Here is a 16,309-nt window from a genome sequence, read left to right as displayed (position 1 = left end):
ATTTAACAATAAAACTACATATATAGGATGATAGTAACTCTGCCATAAATGCATGTGTTGCACAGTAAAAAAAGTGTAACAGTTTTAGCTGTAGTTATCTCTTAATGGTAGAATTACGCATGACTTTTATTTTTTAAATTTTTTTATATCAAAAAAATTTAATGAATAGATTAAATACAAAGTGATCAAATGCTTTAAACCATTTTACAGTGCTACTGTGGCAGCATAATATGTGGAGTTGATGTAATATAATTTACTTATTAATCCGTTACCCTTTTTATTAAGTAGGCTGCTTATAATAATTATTGTAGGGACTATTTTTTAATATTCTTTTTCTTTTCAGTTTTTTCCTAATTCTAGGAAGATTGCTGAATAAAATAACAACACTTCTTAGATGTTTTTTATATTTATATGCAAACCTTTTATATTTATATCCAAATATATTCAAACTGTTCTAAATGGTTTGTAATAAATTTATCATGCCACAAAATAGTTACAGTTGTATTAATTTCACCTGTATTGGATATTGGCCTTTCTTTTCAAGATTTGTGATTCAGTAGATGAAATATTATACTTCAGCACCATGTTCTTTTATATTTCTTTAATTATTAACTCAGATCAATAGCCTATAGGTGTTGTAAAATTATTATTATTATTATTATTATTATTATTTTATTTTTTTTTTTTTTTTGAGACAGAGTCTCGCTCTGTCACCCAGGCTGGAATGCTGGAATGCAGTGGTGCAATCTCGGCTCACTGCAAGCTCCGCCTCCTGGGTTCACGCCATTCTTCTGCCTCAGCCTCCCGAGTAGCTGGGACTACAGGCACCCACCACCACACCCGGCTAATTTTTTGTATTTTTAGTAGAGACGGGGTTTCACCGTGTTAGCCAGGATGGTCTCGATATCCTGACCTCGTGATCCACACGCCTCAGCCTCCCAAAGTGCTGGGATTACAGGCGTGAGCCACTGCACCCGGCCAAAAATTATTTTTAATTATACAAATCCGTGGGATTTCTGAACTGCTCATAGTCCTTGGCTCTCTGTGGTTTTTGAAGGTCACATATGGTGTGTAACTAAGATAAAGTGAGAGTAAAGAATAAAACATGATAAAGTAAATTAGGTTCTGTTGAAGGCAATGTATATCTTTATGTAAGGCAAGCAGACATTTTTGTATGAGAGTAAAATGTAAGAAAAACACGCAAATCAAGTCAGAACATCTGTTAATGAGGCTACCATTAATCTAGTTAACTGAACAGTTTGTTTTACTGAATTGGATATTTCAACTCTATTGGGTATAACTTATATAATGTATTTGCTTTAGTTGAAAATTATTAACTAAATGATGTTTATTGCCTAATCTCTTAAGAAAGGTATCTAAAAAGAATTAAGTTTGTTATCTCTGAGCAGTTTTGCAGATGTTAGGCAAATGAGTTTTCCATATCTAAGTAACAGCATTGTTAAGGTGAGCTTCTGTAAAGGTCTATGGAATGGATAACTTATATATTACACTTTTATATTTTTTCTTTCTCCGTGGGGTTTTACATTTGTGTAAAACATTTTATTTGTTTAAAAGCATATGAACAAACACATCTGAGTTGGTTTATGGGTGGAGGAGTCCATGGAGTTAGACAAGCCCCATACTGCCCTAGAACCCCTGAATGTAGTAAGCACATCACGCATAGTTCATGCCTGTTCTGGCCTATGTTACATTTTTTTATTTTTTTATTTTTTATTTTTTGAGACAGTGCCTTGCTCTGTCCCCCAGGCTGGAGTGCAGTGAGTGGCATAGTCTCGGCTCACTGCGCCCTCTGCTCCCCAGGTTCAAGTGATTCTCATGCCTCAGCCTCCTGAGTAGCTGGGATTACAGGCGCCTGCCACTACGACTGGCTAATTTTTGTATTTTTAGTAGAGACAGGTTTTCGCCATGTTGGCCAGGCTGGTCTCGAACTCCTGACCTCAGGTGATCCACCCACCTCGGCCTCCCAGAGTGTTGGGATTACGGGCGTGAGCCACTGCGCCCAGCCTATGTTGCATTTTGGTTAAAACCGAAAAGATGGTTGGAAGGAATTTGGGAATCCCTTGGATTTGAACATTTAGTAATGAATGAGATGTATCACTTCACATCATCGAGGGAGAATATGCTATTTAAGACTACACTTTCTGAATGCCAAAGAGTGTCATTCCAGTTGTATTCCTTAGTCTCATGTCTTTTTCCTATGTCTTTCCATTTCCCCCCCTTATTACTTTCTTCTCCTCCTGTTCACTTATATTTCTCCCCTTCCTTTTTCAATTTGGAAAAATCATTAAAATAGGAAATAAATACAGAACAGCATAACACCCATCGCTCATCTCTTCCTGGGTGTCCCGTTTCTTGTGTCTGTCCTCTTTGCCTTTTTAATCCGTGTTTCCTTTCTTTCCTTCACATTTCCAGGTTTCTGTTTTATCTCACAGAATCCTGCAGTGGACACGTGTGTAGGTGTAAAAGGGTGGCAGGCCTGGGTTTGAATTTTCATCTCTGCCATGTAAAGCTGTGTGACAGTGGGGAGATTAACCTAGCTGACTCTTTCCCCATCTTTAAAATTCCCATAATAGCAGCTAATAATTGCTGATCTCCAGGCTTATTGTAGAATTTAAATGAGATGCTGTCTGTGCACTGCTTAGCACAGTGACTGCACAGAGTAACTCTCGGGGATTGTGTCTTGGCTCTCTAGCCGCAGTTCCGTGTCTGGGACACACAAGTGCCATGCTGGGATCCCTCTTCGCGTTCGTTCTGGGGAATCCTTCACTTTTCTCCCATGTGCTGTGTCTCATGTGGTCCTCTTTCCGGGGTCACTCTTCCATGCTGGAAGAGCTTATCCTGACAAAGAGTGTGTGGGAGATAAATTTTGAGATATTGCAGAAAACATCTTTATTCTCCATTCTCATTGGATTGATAGATTGAGTGTAGCATTCCCAGTTGTAGATTTTTCTTCAGGGTTTTGGAGGCGAGCTCCATTGCCTTCTGGCTTTGTGTTACCAATGGGAAATGTGAAACCATTCTGATTTCTTTTTTTTTTTTTTTTTTTTTTTTTTGAGACAAAGTCTCGCTCTGTCACCCAGGCTGGAGTGCAGTGGCGCGATCTCAGCTCACTGCAACCTCCACCTCCTGGGTTCAAGTGATTCTCCTGCCTCAGCCTCCTGAGTTGCTGGGATTATAGGCGCCGCTACCACGCCCAGCTAATTTTGTATTTTTAGTAGAGACAGGATTTCACCATGTTGCCCAGGCTGGTTTCGAACCCCTGACCTCAAGTGATCCACCCACCTTGGCCTCCCAAAGTGCTAGGATTACATGCGTGAGCCACCACATCTGGCCATTCTGATTTTGTATCTGCTGGTGTGTGACCAGTTTTTTCTCTCTGGAAACTGTTGGGATCTTCTGTTTGTCCCTAGTGTTCTGAAATTTCAAATGCCATGACTTGGGGGTTTAGAAGAAAAAGCAACTATTATATTGGGCACTCAGTAAACCCCTTCAATCTAGAAACTCATTCCTGGGGGATATTTCTTAGATTCCACTGATATATTTTCATATCTCAGCTTCCTTTCTTTTCTTCTTCTGGCAATTGTACTTTTCAGTTTTTGGACCTCCCGGACTAGTCTACTTCCCCCCCTTTCCCCCTTTCTCCCTTCCGGACTCGTTCTGCTTTTTGGAAGATTTTTCTCAACTTTATTTTCTAATCCTTCTGTCAGTATTTTCAAAACTTCTGCTATTGTGTTTTTTGTTTTCTAGAACTATTTAAAAAATCACACCCTGTTTTATGGATACTGTAATTCTGAGGTACTTGGTATATATATATATTTTAATTTTCTTCTTGTATAGTCTCTGTGTCCTCTGATTTGCTTTTCTGGTTTAACTTGGTCTCTATCTTCCACGTTAGTAGCTTTCCTCAGATATCTGGTTGTCTGCTTGTGATTAAGGGCAGGGAAGACATTCCTGAATTCAAAAAAGGGGATGTGCAAAACTTATATTCTGAGCCCCAATGTTGGGTGATCTCTGAGGGCTGACTGTTTGTGGAACCCCCAGTCCGGTGGCTGGGTCTTTTGTTGTGGGCTGGTCAGGTTTCTAGAGCTCCCTGAAGTCTGGAAGCTGGGTTTGAATTGTGCGATGTCTGCCCTTTCTTTTTCAAATATGATAGAGAGTTCAGTGTTCTCGTTTTCCTTTTATAGAATTTTTTATTAGTAGCTTCTTAGGTACGTGTTTATAAATAGAGAGCTTTTATTTCTCATCATTGGCTGTCTCTGCCTTCTGTAGATTATTAGAAAATGCATAAGTGAAGAAGCCAGGATAATCTTTTCCGTAGCATTATAAATTTGCATTGTAGCATTTTTGTAGAAGTAAAGCAAGTTACCGGTTCTCCGTGTCCTCACCTGTACAGTGAATGGGCTGGAGAAAGCTGTTTGAAAGTCCTTGCTATGCTAAGAATTTTAGCAAAGTCTCTGCAAGGGGAGGTGACAGCTCAGGATGAGTATGTCATTACCTTGCAGAAGTTTGACAGATGATGTTTGTACAAATTTTGACTTGGAAAGCTGCATCTGTGCTGGAAGACTCATGGGGAATTATGAAGAATTTGCCAGGGATATTGCTCCAGGGATAGTAAATGAGAATTAAGATATTTTTAAACATAAGAAAATACTAGAATAGTAGAATTTGCAACAGGATTAAAAAAAAACACTAAATAGAAGCATATGCGTTCTTCTTGAGCTATTTTAACTCTACGAGTACAGTGTTCAATAGTCAAGTTACTTCTCAGGTGTCTGAAAGATTTTTGCATTGTGAATTCATTTGAAATTGACCTTCCGTACTTAAATTCCAGTTTTGTAGTTAACTAGCATTTTTGCTTTGCAAAGGGACTCATCCTTGTTATCTTTACAGGATGATGATTTGAAGTAACCACAAAATTTCAGGAAGTACAAAATTTCTTGTTGGTTTCCTAATTCCACAACTGTTCTGCATGATACTGTGTGCCACTGGGAATCTGAGTGAATTTAGAAAAATTATTCCGCTTTGCAGGAGATAAACAAATGGAGAAAGGAGTTGCATCTACCTGGCAAGCAGCAGAGCGTTGACAGCTTTGTGACTCAGCTTAGTGACAGGCGAGGAGGAAGTGAGAACTGAACAAGGAAGAAGTTAGTCAAAAAATAATAATAGAGTGGTGAATATCAAGCATTTTGGCTAGAATTTTAGGCAAATATGCTATTCTTTTTTAAAAAATGCAAGGCATTTTGAAAACCTATTTTTAAGAGATGTGTGGCTGGGATCCTGGGCTTTGAGCCCAGGGTCTGGCTTCGTGGAATTTTCCCAGTTGAAGTTATTTAAAAAAAAAAAGTGAATTTTTAGATCACATATCTTCAGAATGAGTCCCTTTAGGAAGCATATTGCTGCCTGGCATATACAGTTGACCCTTGAGCAACATGTTTGATCTGTGAGGGTCCACCACCCCATATGGGAATGTTTTTCAAAGCAGATCAAGAATAGAGTATTTGTGGGATGTGGAACCCTTGACTTTTCATACAGGTGGGCTCTGCAGGGCAGACTGCGAAACTTGAGTATGCATGGATTTTTGTACACCTGGGGGTCCTGGGACCAATCCCCGGCGAATACTGAGGGACAACTGTGTTTTCTACCTCTTTGTTACTTACATGTGGCCCACAGCGTCACCTGGGAACTTGTTAGAAATGCAGAATCGTAGTCCTCGCTGCGGAACTGATGACTGAGAATACGCATTTTGACAAAATCCCTGAGTCCTGTGCACTCAAAAGTTGGAGACATCCAGGTCTGCACCATGGTAAAAATGTTCTTTTGATTTTCACATTTTCTTAATTGACATTTCTTAATTGAAATTAATTAATTTGCAAAATAGTATTGCAAAGAAAAGTGTGGTATGTTTATCTAAAGCCTCATTACTTCATGAAAACACTTTTTGTGCTTGAGTCCTGACTGTGGTCTTAAGGACGGGGGCAGCTGCTGTCGACTCTCCTTAATGCACCACCCTCTCCTTTTTAAAATTTATTTTTGAGACGGAATCTCTGTCGTCCAGGCTGGAGTGCAATGGCACGATCTCAGCTCACTGCAACCTCTGCCTCCTGGGTTCAAGCAATTCTTCTGCCTCAGCCTCCCGAGTAGCTGCAATTACAGGCATGCGCCACCACACCTTGCTAATTTTGTATTTTTAGTAGAGGTGGGGTTTCATCATGTTGGCCAGGCTGGTCTCAAACTCCTGACCTCAGGTGATCCGCCAGCCTCAGCCTCCCAAAGTGCTGGGATTGCAGGCGTGAGTCACTGTGCCTGGCCCACCACTCTCTCTTTTATGTGGCAGGTGCCCATTAATATCCAGGCAGGATACTGGTCTCTCAATCAGTGGGTTCCAAAGACAGTATGGGAAGTCAGTATAGACATTTACTTATTTTTGTCTTAAAAAAAAGAAAGCCTCAGTAATGTTTACTATAGCTATTGGTTATATTACTTATATGTAATGCAAAAATGAAGGCATATTTAGGATAGGAATGTTGAAAATGTTTAATGGTGTGTGACTTCATTCAATCAAATCTTAAGTAGAGCTGCGTGCATACCTCCCAAAAGGGCTGTTGGGACGCAGGTGAATTGGCATGTTCTCTCATCTCTAGAGACGAAAACATTCGAAAGTGCTAGCATTTTAAACTGGAAGGAACCTCAGCTTTCCTTTTAAGAAACTGAGGTGCAGACAGTAGAAGTACTTTCCTGAGGTCATAACGTTTGGGATTAGGACAAAGGTTTTCCAACGTAGACTTCAGTTTTCTTTCCATTATTTATTTTGCTTTTGAATGTCTTCCAGGGAACACTGGAGGTGCCTCAAGTGCCAAGTTGTGGGAGGGGCGTAGAAAAAGGGAGGATGATAGGGAAGACTTACGGTAGCCCATCCGCATCTGAATATTCTTGCTTTTTTTTTTTTTGTTTTAGAAACAGACATGTTCCCCGCACCCTCCTCCCATACATAATGCATTCTTGAAAACATGAATGATTGTCTTAACAGAAGATTTACCTGCTGGAAGAGGGATTCTGTTTAGTTTTACCAAAGCATGGCAGAATTGAAACATTGAAAAGAGTGATATTCTAGCTGGGTGTGGTGGCTCAAGCCTGTAATCTTAGCACTTTGGGAGGCCAAGGCAAGAAGATCACTCGAGGCCAGGAATCTTGCCCTATCTCTACAAAAAATTAAAAAATTAGCAGTACATGGTGGTGTGTGCCCTGTAGTCCCAGCTATTCAGGAGGCTGAGATGGGAGGATTTCTTGGGACCAGGAGGTCGAGGCTATAATGAGCTGTGATCACACCATTGTTCTCCAGCCTGGGCTATAGAGCGATACCCTGTGTCTATAAAATGAAAAAAAAAAAAGTTATTCTAATTCCTTACTCTAGAATAAAAATATTACAGTGAGGCTGTCACTGTGCAAGACATTTTTGGAGTTGCCTTCAGTCATAAAATGTACCAAAATAATGAGTTCTATTAATATTTAAAGTTCGTTTTAGAATAGCAGTTGCATTGCCCATCTTCATCACCCTCTTACACCATTTATTAGACCATTGCCAAAATTGTAATTATACTGTCAAAGGATATTTTCCACTATTTAAATGAATATCATTAAAAAAGAAGGTCTTAGACTTTAGAGGAAAACTTTCTTCTTTTTTTAGAGGCGGGGTCTTACTCTGTCGCACAGGCTGGAGTGCAGTGGCGTCACAGCTCATCACAACCTTGAACTCCTGGGCTCAAGGATCCTCCTGGCTTTCTCCTGAGCTGGGAGTACAGGCTCTCACCACCACACCGGCTTTAGAGGAAAATTTAAAGATTTCCAAAGGAAGCATTTTGAACACTGCCAAAATTCTATCCCTGAGTTGTATTTTTAAGAATATTTAATTAAATGCTATTTATTCTAAGCCATGTGGCTAGGTGCCACGTATACAAGGATGAAGGATCTATGGTTCTGCCCCTGAGGCTCACACTGCCCAGCAGAGGAGAAAAAGACATTTAAATATGAATCACAGTCTAGGGATGCAGCCTTTGCTGTGTTAGAGGACGAGCAGAAGCCCAGAGTAAGGAGGATGATTTCAGCCTGGTTGGTATTGAGTTTGAAACAGCACGAACCCTGGCATGAAATGTAAAATGTGTGGATGTACTTGGAGAAGGGTGAAGACAGCAGTGTGAGTAGAACACAGGTAATGGGATGGTTAGTTGGGAGATGAGTTCTGAGGTCAGTTTCCCTCTGAGAAGGTAAGTTCCATGAGAGCAGGGCTGTCAGCCAAGTTCACTGCTATCTTCTCCAAACGTGCAAGAGAGCCTGGCGTGTGAGCAGGTGGTCAACACATGCTGATTGACTTAATGGGAAGATTGTGGCAATTAAATGATAAGATCCTTCACTTTCTGCAGAGGCTTGGACTTTATACTGTGGCCATTGAAGGTTTCTGATGACACGTTGAGATGGGTTTTCGAAAGGTAACTCTGGCCATGGGATAGGCCTGTCCTTCTCAAACGTTTACCCAGAGATCTTGTTAAATTAAGATTCCTGGGCCCCAAAGAGTCTGACTCAGTATGTCTGGGATAGGGCTCGTTAGTTTGCATTTGTGACAAGCTCCCAGCTGCCACTGATGCTGCTGGTAGGTGGCTGCACTTTTAGTAGCAAGGAGAAGGGATTGGATCATTTGAATAAGCAAATTTCCACAAGCAATAGTAAGCATGATGCATTTAGAAAAAATGGTTACCCTAAAGGGCATCTCAGAAGATGAGAGCAAAGTTGTTTTGACATTTGAAATTCTGTCTCCCTCCAAAATACTAGTCTTGGGGTTTGTTTGCTCTTTATTTATTTATTTATTTATATCTTGAAGAAATGAGTTGTTTCCTGTGGCTTGAAGATAGGAATTTGAGGCTGGATTTGTGGCTCACATCTGTAATCCCAGCACTTTGGGAGGCCAAGGCAGGCAGATCACTTGAGGCTAGGAGTTCAAGACCAGCCTGGGCAACATGGTGAAACCCGGTCTCTACAAAAAAATACAAAAATTAGCCAGGCGTGGTGGTGTGTGCCTGTAATCCCACCTACTTGGGAGGCTGAGGCAGGAGAAATGCTTGAACCCGGGAGGCGGAGGTTACAGTGAGCTGAGATCACGCCACTTCACTCTAGCCTGGGCAGCAGAGTGAGACACCATCTCAAAAAAAAAAAAAAAAAAAAAAAAAAAAAGAAGAAGATAGAAATTTGAGACCCTCATGAAATGAGTCAGAAAGGTTCTCTATTTGTAAGGAACGTTTGTTAATTGTAGAACAAAGAAAATGTAACCCAAGGGATAATGATACTGGGGGAGTTTTAAAGGAAGCACCTTTTGAAGAAATTTGTAATGAGATGGCTTTGATGTTTGGTCGCTTTCCATGGTCTTCTACACATGTGTTTTGTATCAAACAAATGTTTATTGAGGCCTTTCTATGGGCAGCACCTGTACACTGGTAGTACACAGAAGTTATGTAAAGGTAAATCCAATAGGTCCTAAATGGTGATATAGCCTAATAGGTAAGATAAAACATGCAGATAAATGGTATATGATAAATGATCATAGCATATACTATATGTCAATATGTAAATAGTATATGTCACAATTTACCTAATATAAAGGTACGTAATATAAAGGTAGAAGGTGACATGCTAAAGAGGTTAAACAGATAACATGTATGAACGTTCAGAAGGAAAGATAAGGACAGATCATTGCAAAGCTCAGCAATCGTATTTTGCACCATGTTAACCTATGGAATGAAGCCCAAGCTCTGTAACCTGTCACTCAGTCATAAGCCCCTGGCTTTAGCCAAAGAGATGGGAAGATTGGAGTCTCAGTGTAGGGCTTTGTGAGTTTGAGATGCGGCAGGCATCTGCACTACTAGCATCAAGGATGTAATTTGAATTCTCAACCTGTGGTGCAAAGAGGCCAGAGATAGAAATTTATGGGGTCTTTTTCTTTGAAGAGATGGTTGCTGGAAGTGATTGAGATTGCTGAGTGAAAGACTGTAGAGATAGAAGAAAGGGCAAATGAGGCTAGATCTTTGGAGAAGATCTGCATCAAGGTGTGTGGAATGAGGAAGCGGAGTCAGGAAGGAGGCTGGAGAGGGGGAACCTGAGAGCAGGCGCCGCAGATAGGAGAGCGCATGCACACCGGAGTGGAGGGGAGCACAGAGGAGGGTTGTAGCATTCATGTTTTGTAAGTAACTACTTATTACAGTGAATTTCTTTGTAAGGTTGGAGTTTTAAGGAGCCTTAGAAGCCTGTAGGTTTTCAGGTCCTTAGAGATGCCCTTTTGGTGTTTACAGAATGTCTTTGGCTCTGGATTTCCAAGCCTGTGTCCAGTGTGAGTAGTAATTATGTCCAGATATGCATTTGTCTTTTATGGAGCCCAGAAAGTTTACAGTCATCCTCGATTCTGTTTCTCTCACATCTCAAACTGTCTGCTAGCAAATTCTGTTTGTTCTGCCTTCAGATATATCTCACATCTGATCACTTTTTGCCATCACTGTGACTAGCACCCTAGTCCACAGATAGCTGCTTTCCCGTTTCTAACTCCATCTCCTTTCTCTCTGTTCTCCACGCTGGTGCTGGAGTGGGCCTTTAAAATGGGAACTCAGATTCTGGCCATGCTCTGTTCGGAAGCCCTCCAGGAGCTTCCCATCTCATGCAGAGATAAGAACTGTGGCTCTTCCATGACCTGTAAGTCACGCTGGCCTCCTCCTGCCTCGGGGCCTTTGCATGTGCTTTCCCGCAGCACAGAATGAACTTTCTTTTTTTTTTTTTTTTTGAGGCGCAGTCTCGCTCTCACCCAGGCTGGAGTGCAGCGGCACATCTCGGCTCACTGCAAGCTCCGCCTCCCGGGTTCACGCCACTCTCCTGCCTCAGCCTCCCAAGTAGCTGGGACTACAGGCGCCCACTACCATGCCTGGCTAATTTTTTTTGTATTTTTAGTAGAGACGGGGTTTCACTGTGTTAGCCAGGATGGTCTCGATCTCCTGACCTCGTGATCCGCCCGCCTCGGCCTCCCAAAGTGTTGGGATTACAGGCGTGAGCCACCGCGCCCGGCCCAGAATGAACTTTCTAATCCTCGGGGATTGTGTCCTCCCTTCCTGTCGTCACTCAGAGGCACCTTCTCAGAGCAGCCTTCCTTGTCTCTTGCCCCTACCTGTGCCTTGCTTGCACTTTCCTGCTTTATTTTGATTTCTCTCATTTGTCTTTCACATACACTAGAATGTGCAGCTCACGAAAAGAGGGAGTTTTGTCTCATTTTGTTGACTGTGGAATCTCCAGTGCCTAGCACAGTGCCTGGCACCTGGGAGGTGATCAGTAAATATATGCTGAATGAATGAGTGCTGTCACAGCCTCTCCTGGCCGTGGTGTTCTGTGGAGACTTTGTCAGGCGCCTTCAGGCATGGTCAGGACTTGGCTTCCTTTGCAGGGAGCAATGCTGGATGCCCTCTTCCCCCACAGCTGCTCAGCAGGCTCTTTCTGCCACTCCGGAGTCACTCAGCCTCAGGCTGTGGCTGGCAGCACAGTGTGAAGTTGCTTTGGTGAAGCTGCAGGTGTATGAAGGCATGTTGGGATTTCAATATGGGGGACTTTTTAGAGTGGATTAAGATGTTTGGCCGGGCGCGGTGGCTCAGGCCTGTAATCCCAGCACTTTGGGAGGCCGAGGCTGGCGGATCACGAGGTCAGGAGATCGAGACCATCCTGGCTAACACGGTGAAACCCCGTCTCTACTAAAAATACAAAAAATTAGCCAGGCGTGGTGGCAGGCGCCTGTAGTCCCAGCTACTCGGGAGGCTGAGGCAGGAGAATGGCGTGAACCCAGGAGGCGGAGCTTGCAGTGAGCCGAGATGGCGCCACTGCACTGCAGCCTGGGTGACAGAGCGAGACTCCGTCTCAAAAAAAAAAAAAAAAAAAAAAAAAAAAAAGAAAAATATTCAAATTGCTTTCATTTTGGTGAACAGCATTTGGAACTTTATTTTGGAATTAATCAAAATGATTTAGAAATTAACTAGAGACATTTAAGACAATCTCTAGTAGTTGCTGCTGCACTCCAGCCTGGGTGATAGAGCCAGACCTTATCTCAAAAAAAAAAATAGAGAAAAGAAAATTGGGATGCCTGATCACTAGTTACTGGTATGAATTGGCTGAAGATCATGGCGTGCTGGATGAATTTTTACTCTTTGTCATACATATTAAGGCACTAATTACACAATTTTAAAAAAGATCTATAAAACATGTTTTATAGTTACTATAGCTCTTATGTGTCCCCATATTCAGGGCAAATAGGGAATTTGGTAGTACCTCTTCCTAAGTGTAGGACTTCCGGAATATTCAAGAATGTAAATGGTGTTATTAGATGGATACACACTCCAGGTTTCATGGGTGACCCCTTACTGCACAGTCCCACGTTATTCAGCCCTGATTCTCCAGCCCTGGTCCCCAGATTCTTCTCTCAGCCACCGTCCCTGCCAGCTCCAAGGCTGAAGTAAACTATTCACAGAATTTAGAATTGAAAAGGACTGTAGCGAATTTTTGGTCCAATTCCCTTATTTTACAGACGAGCATGCTGAGCTTCAGAAAGCAGAGGTGATTGCCCAGGGCCACATGGGAGCTAGAGGTAGACTTGAAACCAGAGTCCAGGTCTTTGGACTCCCCATAGAGTGCTCTCTTGATTACCTCCCTATCCAAAAGTAGTGCACTGGACTCTGGTTGCCTTCCTTCCAGGGACCAGTCTGTGTCCAGCTTCTGTTCTATTTGCAGCTGCATTTCTTTTTTATTTTTCTCTTTTTGAGACGGACTCTTGATCTGTCGCCCAGGCTGGAGTGCAGTGGTGCGATCTGGGCTCACTGCAACCTCCGCCTCCCGGGTTCAAGCTATTCTCCTGCCTCAGCCTCCCAAGTAGCTGGAATTATAGGTGTGCACCAGCATGCCCGGCTAATTTTTGTGTTTTTAGTAGAGATTTGGCCAGGCTGGTCTGGAACTCCTTACCTCAGGTGATCCTCCCGCCTTGGACTCCCAAAATGCTGGGGTTACAGCTGTGAGCCACTGCGCCCAGCCTACATTTCTTTTTACATTACATTGTATTAGGTTGGTGCAACAGTAATTGTGTTTTTTGCCATTACTTTTAATGAAATGTAAAAAGAAATGACAAATGTGTTTTCTTACAGCATAGAGAAATTAAATTCCATTGTTTTGCTTACTTCAGAAACAAGGATATGTAAAGAAAGTATGTAATAACAGAACCGTCCAAACCCTTCAGTGTGTACAGCAATAAAATTCTTTCTTTATTTTATTTTACTTTTTTATTTTGAGGTGGAGCCTTGCTCTGTCACCCAGGCTGGAGTGCAGTGGCATGATCTCGGCTTACTGCAACCACTGTGTTCCAGGTTCAAGCTATTCTCCCGCCTCAGCCTCCCAAGTAGCTGGGATTACAGGTGCCCACCACCACGCCTGGCTAATTTTTGTATTTTTAGTAGAGACAAGGTTTTGCCATGTTGGCCAGGCTGGTTCAAACTCCTGACCTCAGGTGATTTGCCTGCCTCGGCCTCCCTAAGTGCTGGTATCGCAGGCGTGAGCCACCGCGCCTTGCCTAGGATTCTTACAGTTAAATGTTGCAGTTTTAATCTTGAAATCTTGAGAACTGAATTGGATGAATTTGTTCTGATTTTCACTTCTGTTTTCTTTAGCTTTAAACGCCAACTTATTCTGTATCCTGGACTTCAAACTTTGTTTTTATTGTACCACTTCCCCGGCCCTGCTAAAAAGGAACCTCTAGGGACTATTCAGGAGTGTCCATCACTGTAGAGTCAGGTCTGATTTCTGTCTGGCTTATCCTCATCCTCCAGCCCCCTTTATCTTTTCACTCGTATATTCTACTGCTTTCTACTTTGAAAAACTCTGCTTCAGTAAACTCCTGGCTCATGTTGTTTTCATAGCTTGATCACCTTTTACTCTGCTGCCTCGCTTTCCCAACTTTTACTCTTCCCCTCTCAGAAACCTCCTAACTACTGCAAGCAAACCCTAATAATCTTTCCTTTATATTTCCAAAATAATTTTATTTCCTAGTTTATGTTATAAAATGTGTTTTTTAAAAAAAGAAAACTCGGTTTGTGAAGAAAGTCCCTCCCATCTCAAGTTCCTAGTTTTTCTGAGGTAATCACTGTTGTTTATTTTGTAGCCTTCTCCTGCTTTTCATGTCACAGTCACAAAATGGCTGCCTTATCTCCAGGCATCACATTTGCATTCCAGGCAGTAAGACAAGGAGAGAGAAAATGAGATATCATGAGCCATATCTGGCCTTTTTTAATTAAGAAAAGCAAAAACTTTCCCAGAAGCTCAAAGCAGACTTCTGTTCCTGTCTCATTGGCCAGATCCGTATTACATGGCACTCCTAGTTAGGAGAAATTGTGGAATAGAGAGCATTCAGCTTTCTCAGTCCCTCTAGTGGAGGCAGTGGGAGAAGGGAATTGGGAGTATATTTTGAGTTGGCCATTGGATTGTGCCTACTGCACATAAAATGTTGTTTTCATATTGGATTTTGATAAATCCATTTTATAATAAGCCACCTTACTACATTCTCCTGTTTTGAATAATTTTTCAGTTGTTTGCCTTCCCAATGTATTGTTTTAGAATTACGAACATTTTGCTTTTTTCATTTCAGCTGTTCTTAAGTGTATCAAGAAGCTTTCAATTGCCAGTAATGGAAAACTTATTCTAATGAATTTTTTAAAATAAAAGGAATTTAGTGATTCACATAGCTGAAAAGTCTGAAGGTCTGGTGGGCTTCGGGTGCAGTTTGACTCAGAGGATCATGGTGTTCTCAGGTTCTGCCTTCATTTCTCTTGGGGTTTTCTTGTTATGTGGCCCTGTCTTTGGGCTGACTTCCACCGTGGTAGCAGCTGGCGACATAATGTTAGCCAGGGAGAATGTTTCTTCTGATAGCTTTCTTGGGCTTTGTTCCAGAAAGTCTGCAGCTAATGTCTGTGAGTCATGTGCTCCTTCTTGAGCCAATCACTGGGATTTTCTGGAATGTGTCCTCCATATATTTGGTTGTGTTTCCATCAGTGTCTCCACTTCCTTTATTGCTGTTTAGTGCGGCATCCGTTTCCGGGATTGCCTCACTCTTCTTGAACTTCATTTCTTCCCTGAACTTTGCTATCTTTTAATCTCCCCTTGTTGTCCTGTTTCTTATTTGAGTTCCTGTTTCAGGGAGGCTATGCCTATTTTTTAAAGTCTCATAGAGAAATATTGGTTCAGGCTGGGCGCAGTGGCTCACACCTGTAATCTCAGCACTTTGGGAAGCCGAGGCGGGCAGATCACCTGAGGTCAGGGATTGGAGACCAGCATGGCCAACACGGCAAAACCCCATCTCTACTAAAAACACAAAAATTAGCTGGGCGTGGTGGTGGACACCTGTAGTCCCAGCTACTCCAGGAGGCTGAGGCAGGAGAATCGCTTGAACCCAGGAGGCAAAGGTTGCAGTGAGCCAGGATCATGCCACTGCACTCCAGCCTGGGCAATAGAATAAGACTTCCTCTCAAAAATAAATAAATAAATAAATAGATAAATAAATAAATAAATAAATAAATAAAAGGAAAAATGTTGGTTCATAACTTTCCAATTCTTTCCAGCATAATCTCTCTGGCTGTCTGGTGTGTCTTCATTGACCTTTTCTTGGCAATATTCCTTTCCTTCCTTTGTCCTGTACCTTATTTGCATTGTCTGTGATGGAGCCTTTCTCATGATGACTCAGTTTTCAATGTGGATCGTTCTTTCTGCGTTACCAGCCTGCTGAGTGGTTGTGACTGGGAGGAGCTGGGGTGGAGTCGGGGGGCACTGGCAACCTTCATTGCAGTCAGCCGCCTCAGAGAGCTTTCTTTCCAGCCCTCCATCCTGAGGGCATTTCTTCTCTCTAGGACAGAAGGAATTTTGACTGCTGCTCACACTTTGTGTTTGAATCGATCAACTAGCAGGGTAGTGTTCAGTTTTGTAAAGAATTTTGGCTATCATAATCCTACAATTCAGCCCCACAGCCACCCTGATGACACTGAAATGCATCATGGGCTGCTTTTGTTGCTGTTTGGTATTCAATCTTTTTCTCAATCTATTGGAAACAAGGCCGAAATGAAAGTTCAGTTAACATAAAGTTTAAGAGTCTTTCCTTTGGATCCCAACGTTATTTAATTTTTTAATTTTTAAAGCTAAATTTAAATGATTTTTCCACTCAGATTCCACATGCTTCCAGTACTTG

At 42.1% G+C, this 16,309-nt stretch overlaps 1 protein-coding gene across 8 annotated transcripts in view; it reads left to right on the top strand.

The window, feature by feature from the left end:
* Positions 1-16,309, top strand: part of VGLL4 (vestigial like family member 4) — a 165,749-nt gene that overhangs the window by 44,730 nt on the left and 104,710 nt on the right. Inside the window, exon 2 of one of the 8 annotated variants that reach the window (XM_047449260.1) lies at positions 5,692-5,812. The exons of 6 other annotated variants lie outside the window; for them this stretch is intronic. In XM_047449260.1, the coding sequence (XP_047305216.1) occupies positions 5,746-5,812 (67 nt within the window). In that variant the 5' untranslated portion in view covers positions 5,692-5,745. Of the gene's footprint in view, positions 1-5,691; positions 5,825-16,309 lie in introns of all 8 variants that reach the window. One more of the 8 variants, NM_001284390.2, reaches the window with a different exon arrangement.

Source organism: Homo sapiens, chromosome 3 (assembly GCF_000001405.40).
Source record: "Homo sapiens chromosome 3, GRCh38.p14 Primary Assembly".
Lineage (NCBI taxonomy): Eukaryota > Metazoa > Chordata > Mammalia > Primates > Hominidae > Homo > Homo sapiens.
The sequence above is the reverse complement of the archived record's forward strand: the minus strand, read 5'-3'. Positions and strand labels throughout refer to the sequence as shown.